This window comes from Homo sapiens, chromosome 2 (genome assembly GCF_000001405.40).
Source record: "Homo sapiens chromosome 2, GRCh38.p14 Primary Assembly".
Classification (NCBI taxonomy): Eukaryota; Metazoa; Chordata; class Mammalia; order Primates; family Hominidae; genus Homo; species Homo sapiens.
Genome location: NC_000002.12, coordinates 167112032 through 167122338, shown reverse-complemented (window position 1 = coordinate 167122338; position 10307 = coordinate 167112032). Strand labels below are relative to the sequence as shown.

The 10307-nt window shown below is 36.5% G+C and overlaps 1 protein-coding gene across 3 annotated transcripts in view; it reads right to left on the bottom strand.

Moving 5' to 3' along the window:
- XIRP2 (xin actin binding repeat containing 2) overlaps positions 1 to 10307 on the bottom strand; it is a 371274-nt gene that overhangs the window by 137415 nt on the left and 223552 nt on the right. The gene's annotated exons all lie outside the window — the stretch shown is intronic.

Sequence of the window (10307 nt, the reverse complement as noted above, 5' to 3'; positions counted from 1 at the left end):
CATTTTACAGCTGGAAGTAAATAGGCACAGAAAAGCTACAATTCTAGTCCTGGTTCTTACCCCATTTTTGGTTGGGTCCAATGTTAAAACTCGTATGTCCAACATTTTAAAGAAAGATTCTTGCCTATGTGCATGTGTACAATTATTTAATATTCTCTGAAGAAAGACTGTTCAGGGAGGGGAAGAGCTGATTCAGGGATTGTGGGCATGTTACCTAATTTCTTTAGATTAACTGATCTCATTTAGAAGCTAGGCATGGACATGATTATTTTGGTATTTGCTACTGTCCTAACAGAAAGAATGCTGTGAAATTGAAAATGGTATGTTTCATAATTCACTGAGGTTCTCCCATGTGCAAAAAATACAACATGCTGCTATTTGAGCTTTGAGAGGCAGAGTATATCATTATGTCTCTTTGCTTCTCACCTCTTTAGAGGTCACGTTCATATGACTTGCTGTGTGCCTAAGAAAACCTGTGGAATTTTACGCTGAAGGAGTACTGAACATAAATTCCCCATGAGATGCAGATTTTAATGCTGTGTAACCTTATTTTCATTCTGGCTTCACATTTAGGCAGTTAATTTTCCATATAAAGCAGAAATACTGCCTTCTTTCCCTTCTCAGTCAAGAATAAAATTCTGCAACTTGCCGCAGTCACTCTCATTTTCTTAAATAGGGCCCTAAAGTATTTTAGGATTATCTTTATTAGTTGGAGACTATATCCACTCTTAAAAGAATTATAATGAAAAGAAAACTTCTATTAAAATATTTTAACTAGTTTCAATTGACCACATTACTGGCAATGGAAAAATCTCTAATGGCTAAACCTTTTAAATCTAATCTGCTTTAACATATTTTAAAACTGACGTGCCATTTAAGATTTAGGTGTTAGCATGCAAAGTGTTTTCTTTCTCTGTTTTCACATCCATTTTTTATTTCATTTTCTTTGACCTTTTGAAAATGAAATAACCCAATGATATCCTCTAGAGTGGCATGAATGATCTAAAAATGAATTACTGTATTCAAACGATCATACTAAAATGTGCAAAAGAATAAAGAGAAAAATATGTATATTTGTGTGAATAGTGATTTAATAATGCTTAGATGGAATGGCTTCTGTCTATTTCAGGAGCATAAAGTTCTGCTTAGATAGGATATCCACATAGTTATGTTGAGTTGCAATGACAAGGTGGAAAATGGTTGGAAGATATCAGACCTATGTTTATATCCCAACTTCAAACACTTCCCAGCTTAGTGAACACAACACAGTTATTTCATCTCTGTAGGCTTCCATTTCTTCATCTGTAAAATCACAATAATATCACTCACTTTTGAATGAATATGAAATACCACATTTTGTAGAGTAGACATTCAATACATGGTAGCTACCCCAAAGATATTTCAACATATAATTGTAATAATCAATGAAATCATAAGACAGGAATGGTTTTCTACATTCAAAGAGAGACTTCAGAGATTTCTCGAGTAGTGTATTTGATTTCTGGTTGGGAACTCTCTTTTATATACAAAATTAAATATTTGGGCAAAATATGAACCTAATAGGGTCTGAATATTTATATTCATGAGCTAATTATGTCATGCTGAGATTTTGTTAAGATAAGAGCCTGAGATACATGATCTCATGAAGCTTCTGGCTGTCCACGCTTTATATAAGACAGAGCCTTCTAATTATCCAAAAAAGATGAGTCTTTATCTTCTTTCATCTCTCATGAGCTATGGGAACTTGGATATAGCATATACTCCCTGTAACTCTTTTCCTTGACCACAGATAGGAGGTAATGATAATTCAGACATACCATAGTGATCATTCGAATAATTATTTAAAACAATACCCTTACGATGTCTTAAATGCCTTGGAGACTGTGCTATCATTCAAAGCTAGGATTGTGAATCACAAGGTGGAAATATGGAGATTTGTGAAGACACTGCATGCTATAATACAGTTATTTGCTCTTTCTAGATGATATAACACTCAGTGCCATGGAGGAACAGATGCCAAAGAAAGCTTATTCAAGTCCTTTCCTCCATGGCGACTATGCTGTCTGCTAGAAATAGTGCAGAGCTCTAGGAAGCCAGATACAGCCCCCAAGAGACAAAGTTCATGGAGTGGCAGTAAAGAAGTGCAGAAAGGGCCTCGTATTTTCTAAAGCTTTCCCTGAGAGAATCCTCGTTTCTGCACTACTGGACTACAGCTGGTCAAAAAACATCAATGGAAACCAGCCCCACCGTGACGGAGGTAAAATCGTTTAAAGGCTTGGTGCAAAGTGGAAGTACTAGCGCTCTATGATTTCTCTTTTAGAAACTCATTTTATAAATCCCCAAGAACAACACAACAGCTATTTTTAATATAGTAGCACAGAAGGGAAGCCTCTAAGTGGATTATCCATATAACATCTTTATGATGCTGAAAGGGAGAAGGAGTGCTCTTATAGGCCAATTAGATCAGCACTTTGCATGCATGACAGACTGATGTTTAACATTTGCAGCAATGAGGGAGAAAAGCAGAAACAAAATCTTCCTATAAATAAACTGCTGAACTTTAGCATGTACCATATTAAGAATTTTACAATCTTCTGAATTCTGAAACTGTGTGCTTTGAATTGTAATTATCTCTGTAGTCTTTAGAGCAATTGTGGGCATCATGCATAATCTACTTGTTTATTTAACAAACATTGGGCACCTATCAAATGCCAGAAACTTTGTCAACTACTGAAATTTGACAAAGAAGCACAATCAAGAGCTTGTCCTTCAAGCACTGAGAGTCTGGTACAATCACTTATAGGCTAGTTCAAGTGCAATGGTTCTCAGAGGCTGGTGAGCCATGAGATTGTATTTAAGTGTTGAACTTGCAAATAAGTCACATATTTGCTCTGTTTCATGGAGACCCCTATAGTATTTTACCTTTGCTCTCTCATTAATTAACGAGTTAAATAAAATCTTTGACTTTACATTTGTATTTGTCTGAGAGATACTGTATCCTTTAAAAAATTATATTTCAAATACTTTTATAATTCTTCTAAGTTTCTGGAGTCTCCTCAAAACACCTTCCAAGATGCCAATGTTTATCTAATGTGAAAAAGAAGGGGAAAAAATCTAGTTTCCTTTCGTGAGCTTCCTATTTTTCTTCTTTTCATAAACTCTTGAAATAATCATCTACTACCACTGTCTCCACTTCATTACTTCTCACTTGCTCTTCAACCCATCCCAATCCACTTTTTGCCTCCACTGAATCTCTGACATTGATCTTGCCACGGGGACAATCTCATCAACACCTTCCTTGCTGCTTAAATCAATGAACATATCTCAGTTTCCAACTCATTTAACACTCTAGGCTCTTCTTCCTCTTGAATTTATCTCCTTTCCTGGGCTTCCATGACACTGCACTCTCCTGCTTTTCCTCCTGTCTCTCTGGCAATTATTTAGCTTTCTTCTTATTTCTTGGTCTTAGTCCTTTTTCAGTATGGATACATAATTTGTGGGTTATTTCACCTTCATGACTTCCATCTATACATTCATAACCTCTGTCTTTGTTTGTTTGTGGTGCCGTAATAGGCTATCTGAAACTAGGTAATTTATAAAGATCAGAAATTTATTTACCACAGTTCTGAATGCCGGGGAGTCCAAGATCTAGGTGCTAGCAGGTGCATTATCTGATGATGGTCTGGTCTCTGTCCAATATGGTGTTCTGAATGCTGCATCCTCCAGAGGGAAGGGAGGAATGCTGTGTACTCGAACGGTAAAAGGCGCAAGGGCAAAAAGGAAGTAATCTTCTTCCATCAAGCTATTTTATTTTATTTTATTTTATTTTATTTTATTTTATTTTATTTTATTTTATCGAGACAGAGTCTTGCTGTGTCGCCCAGGCTGGAGTGCGGTGGCCCGATCTTGGCTCACTGCAACCTCCAGCTCCCTGGTTCAAGCAATTCCCCTGCCTCAGCCTCTGGAGCAGCTGGGATTACAGGCGTATGCCACCACGCCTGGCTAATTTTTTTGTATTTTTAGTAGAGATCGGGTTTCACCATGTTGGCCAGACTGGTCTCAAACTCCTGACCTCAGGCAATCTGCCCATCACGGCCTCGCAAAGTGCAGGGATTACAGGCGTGAGCCACTGCACCCAGACCATCAAGCCCTTTTATAATTAATTGATTCATAAAGGTGGTGGCCTTATGACCTAAACACCTCTCAAAAGGCCACACCTCTCAAGACTATTGCATTGGGGATTAAATTTCAACATTAATTTTTGGTGGGGGAAAAAACATAGAAACTTCCAAATATGTATGCCAAAGCCAGATATTGATTTCTAAATTTTATGTATACATGGAATAGAATGTCAAGTGTGGTTTTTCTGTTGTCTCAGAATTTTGGTCAGATCTCAAAGCTGAGAACAAAGGGTATAAGAGACAACTTACCGGAAAGTAAAGTGCCAGGTCATTTATTGCAAAACTTAATAAAGAGTAACACAAAAAATAATTTCCAAATGTTAGCTCATGACAAACCTAGAGTAAAATGGGAAAAAAATTCAACATCTTAATGATAAAATTTTAAAAGGCAGAAATTCCTTGGAGAGGTTTGCTGGTGTACTGTATTGCAAACCCACATACATGAGGATGAGCTAGATGTTTCTCTCATCATCTCAAGCTGTATGAGAAAGTCTACAGTAGAATCAGCTCAGCTGGGTGTAGATTAGACTGCAGAAGTCCCCAGTCACATGTGATGTTAAGGCAAACATCACAAAGGTTAGTGAGATTTTTTGGAGAAGCTGACATTATCTCCTTGGATTTGCAAGACACAGGGAACTGGTGACTGAGGCTTGCTTGAAGAAATCTGAAAACAAGAGGTTTTACAGTCACTCCCTGATGGGAAAATGTGAATGGATGATTTTTTTTCTTGTAGACTAAACAAAGGTCGCATTTGAGTCACCTTTAAATGGATTTCTGCAAAGATTAAGTTGACTAAGAGAAAAAAGAAGCTGATACATTGTGTGTGTGTGCACTGTATGTGTATGGCGGGGAGTGGGGAGGTGGAGCAGAGGAGTCAAAAGTGACCAGCTAGAGATTTTAACGCCAATACTAGGGAATGAGGAAGTAGGACATGTCCAAGAAACAGGCAAAATTACTCCACAAAACAAAGCATTTAGTTATCTGCCATTTCCAAAGATCACTAACATCAGATTACAATTCTATTAACCAAGTAATAAATTTTATGCCTCTTACTATTGTTCAGTTCTTCTCAATTCCAACCCAAATCATATCAAGAGGCATTTTCTAACTCTACATATTTCACAGCCCAGGATGGAAACAGATAGAACTATTATTATTTTGGTAAGGTAATCATATATTTTTGTTGTACATGAAACCATATTTCTCATAAGCAAAGGACACTTATCCATTTTCTTAGATTAATACTCGTAAGCCTTCTATAAAACATGCTTACTTATAGCTATGGTACAGTGAATCTTCACAGTTATTTGGCTGTTCTCTAGTACATCTAACTCTTCTGCTGACAGAAATCAAATTGTACTCCCTCTGGGAGGATAGTATTTTTTTCTAAACTATATATGTCACTTATCTTTTTAAATGTAATTACATAATTTAGTTAAACATTACATTAACTAATACAAGATGAAAGACAGAACAAACATAAAAAATAACAAAATTCAAACACAAAGTCTAACATATCAATAATCACACAAAATGTAAATGATCTAATCACACCAATGAAAGAGTAAGGGAATGTGGAAAAGTTGACAACATAACTGGATGCTATTTACTTTGACTGACTGCAAACATAATAACATAGGTAGGTTGAAAGAATAAGTCGAAAAAAGACACAGGATATAAACTTTTATCAAAAGAAAGTAGGAGTACCTATATTAATATCAGATGAAATAGACTTTAGACCATATAAATTTACCAGAGACAGAAAGGAACATTGCCAATTATAAAAATGGTTAATCGATCAAAAGGCATTTCAATCCTAATTCTGTATGTATGAATCAACAGAGCTACAAAATATGTAAAGCAACAACCGATAGAACTGAATAGAGAAATAGACAAACTCACCATTATACTTCAAGATTTTTAACACCTCTCTCTCAACATTTAATAGAATAAGTTGATTGAAATCTATTAATGATATAGAAAAAATCATCAGTACCATAAATCAACAGCACTTAATTAATATTTACAGAACATCTCACCCAAGAAAGGCAAAATAAACATTCTTTTCAAGTGTCCTTGGAATGTATACCAAGATAGACCATATTCTAGGCCATAAAACAAACCTCAACAAATTTAAAATAATTAAAATCAATCATAGTGTGTTTTTCTGACCAAAGTGGAATCAATCTAGAGATCAAAAACAGGAAGATAACATGAAAATCATCAAACTCTTGGAAACTTAAACAATACACTTCTAAACAATCCATGGATCAAAAAGGAAGTCTCAAAGAAAATTTTAAAAAGTATATTGAACATCTGCTAGAGCTTCCAACCCAGTAGTTCTGCTTCTGTCTGAACTCTGTGGGCAGGCACAGCCCTGTGTTTCCCCAGGAAGCACATGGAAATCAGATTAGGGCCAACCTGGCAAGGATGCAGCTTGACTGCCAACTGTGGTCCCTACCTGAGGAAACCCCATGGTCAGCAGCATCCAAAAAAAGCAATGTGAGAACAGAGACAATAATCAGAAGAGGCCCCTCCAAGACCCATGAGTAGACTAGAATTGAAGCCAGTCAACTGAATTCACCTTATACTGTAATCAAACCCCCAACAGCATCAAAGAAGAAAAAAGCCAAACAATTCATCCAAAGGACGGCAACTTCAAAGACTGAAGGAATATCAGCCCACACAAATGAGAAAGAAAGCACAAGGACTCTGGCAGCTCAAAAAGCCAGAGTGCCTTCTTTCCTCTAAATGAATGCATTAGTTCCCCAGCAAGCATTCTTAAATGGGTTGAAATGACAGAAATAGAATTCAGAATATGGATAGGAATAAAAATCATTGAGATTCAGAAGGACATTCATCAAAACCCAATCCAAGGTAGCTAAGAATCACAGCAAAATGATACAGGAGCTGATAGGCAAAATAGCAATTATACAAAAGAACCAAACGGATCTGATAGAGCTGAAAAACACACTATAAGAATTGCAAAACCACAGTGAGATACCATCTCACACCAGTTAGAATGGCAATCTTTAAAAAGTCAGGAAACAACAGGTGCTGGAGAGGATGTGGAGAAATAGGAACACTTTTACACTGTTGGTGGGACTGTAAACTAGTTCAACCATTGTGGAAGTCAGTGTGGCGATTCCTCAGGGATCTAGAACTAGAAATACCATTTGACCCAGACATCCCATTACTGGGTATATACCCAAAGGACTATAAATCATGCTGCTATAAAGACACACACACACGTATGTTTATTGTGGCACTATTCACAATAGCAAAGACTTGGAACCAACCCAAATGTCCAACAATGATAGACTGAGTAAGAAAATGTGGCACATATACACCATGGAATATTATGCAGCCATAAAAAAGGATGAGTTCATGTCCTTTGTAGGGACATGGATGAGAGTGGAAATCATCATTCTCAGTAAACTATCGCAAGGACAAAAAACCAAACACCGCATGTTCTCACTCATAGATGGGAACTGAACAATGAGAACACATGGACACGGGAAGGGGAACATCACACTTTGGGGACTGTTGTGGGGTGGGGGGAAGGGGGAGGGATAGCTTTAGGAGATATACCTAATGCTAGATGACCAGTTAATGGGTGCAGCACACCAGCATGGCACATGTATACATATGTAACTAACCTGCACATTGTGCACATGTACCCTAAAACTTAAAGTATAATAATAATAAAAAAAAGAATTGCATAATGGAACCACAAATAGTAACAGCAGAATAGACCAATCTGAGGAAAGAATCTCAGAGCTTGAAAACTGACTTTCTGAAATAACTCAAGTCAGACAAAAATAAATAAAAAAGAATAAACAAAACCTCAGAGAAATATGAGATTATGTAAAGAGACCACATCTATGACGCATTGGCGTCTCTGAAAGAGAAAGAAAGAAAACAAGCAACTTGCGAAACGTATCTCAGGATATTAACAATGAAAACTTCCCCAAGCTTACTAGAGAGGTCAACATTCAAATCAAGGAAATGCAGAAACCCCCTGCAAGATGTTGCAGAAGAAAACCATTCCCCAGGCACTTAATCATGAAATTCTTCAAGATTGAAATGAAAGATAAAATGTTAAAGGCAGCTAGAAAGAAGAGGCAGATAACCTACAAAGGGAAACAAATCAGGCTAAAAGCGGAAACCTTACAAGCTAGATGAATTTGGGGGCCTATATTCAGCATTCTTAAAGAAAAAAAATTCCAATCAAGAATTCATACCCAGCCAAACGAAGCTTCATAAGTGAAGGAGAAATAAGATCCTTTTCAGATAAGCAAATGCTGTTGGGAATTTCTTAGCACCAGAACTGCCTAATAAGAGGTCCTGAAAGAATCACTAACTATGGAAAGTAAAGACTGTTACCAGACACTACAAAAACACACTTACGTACACACATCAGTGATACTATAAAATAACCACACAAACAAGTCTGCATAATAACCAGCTAACAACATGACAGGATCAAATCACACATGTCAATACTAACCTTAAATGAAAACAGTTTAAATGCCCCAATTAAAAAGCACAGAGTGGAAAGATGGATAAAGAAGCAGGGCCAGATGGTATGCTATCTTCAAGAGACCCACTCACATGCAATGACATCCATAGGCTCAAAATGAAGGGATGGAGAAAAATCTACCAAGCAAATGGAAAACAAAAAAGCAGGGGTTACAATCCTAATTTCAGAAAAACCAGATTGAACCAACAGAGATCAAGAAAGATAAATTAGGGCATTATATAATGGTAGAGAGTTCAATTCAACAAGAAGAACTCACTATCTTAAATAGATGTGTATGCAACACAGGAGCACTCAGATTCATAAAGCAAGTCCTTAGAGACCTATAAGAGATTTAGATTCCCACACAATTATAGGGAGAGACTTTAACACGCCACTGACAATATTGGACAAATCATCAAGGCGGAAAATTAACAAAGATACTCAGGACTTGAACTCAGCATTTGACCAAATGAATGTACTAGATATTTATAGAACTCTCTACATTACAGAACTCTCCACATAAAAACAACAGAATATACATTCTTCTCATCACCACATGGCACATACTCCAAAATCAACCACACAATTGGACATAAAACAATGCTCAGCAAATTAAAAAAAAGAACCAAAATCATACCAACCAAACTCTTGGACCACAGCACATTAAAAATAGAAATCAAGGGCCAGGCATGGTGGTTCGTGCCTGTAACCTCATCACTTTGGGAGACTGAGGCAGGCAGATCAATTGAGGCCAGGAGTTTGAGATCAGCTTCGGCAACATGATGATGAAACCCCGTGTCTACTAAAAATACAAAAATTAGCTGGGTGTGGTGGCACACACCTGTAGTCCCAGCTACTCAGGAGGCTGAGGTACGAGAATCACTTGAACCCAGGAGGTGGAGGTTGCAGTAAGCCAAGGTTGTGCCACTGCACTCCAGCCTGGGCAACAGAGTGAAACTCTGTTTCAAATATACATATATAAAAAATCTCTCTCTATATATATACATAAAAATATATAGAGAGAGAGATTTATATAGAGATTTATATATATTATATATAAATATATCTCTATATAAATATCTAGATATAAATATCTGGTATATATATATAGAGAGAGAGACAGAGGAAGAAAAATAAATATTAATAAAATAACTCAAAACTGTAATATTACATGGAAATTAAACAAACTGCTCCTGAATGCTCCGGAATGACTTTTGGGTAAATAATAAAATTAAGGCAGAAATCAAGATATTCATTAGAAACTGACAAGAACAAAGATATAATATACCAGACTCTCTGGGACACAACTAAGAAAGTGTTAAGAGGGAAGTTTATAACACTAATGCCCACATTAAAAAGTTAGAAAGACCTCAAATTAACCAAACATTACAAGAAGAAGAACTAGAGAAGCAAGAGCAAACCAAACCCAAGGCTATCAGAAGACAAGAAATAACCAAAATCAGAGCTGAAATGAATGAAACTGAGACACAAAAAACTATATCAAAGATAAATGAATCCAGAAGTTGGTTTTTGAAAAAATTAATAAGATAGATAAAACACTAGTTAGATTAGTAAAGCAAAAAAGAGAGAAGGTCTAAATAAAC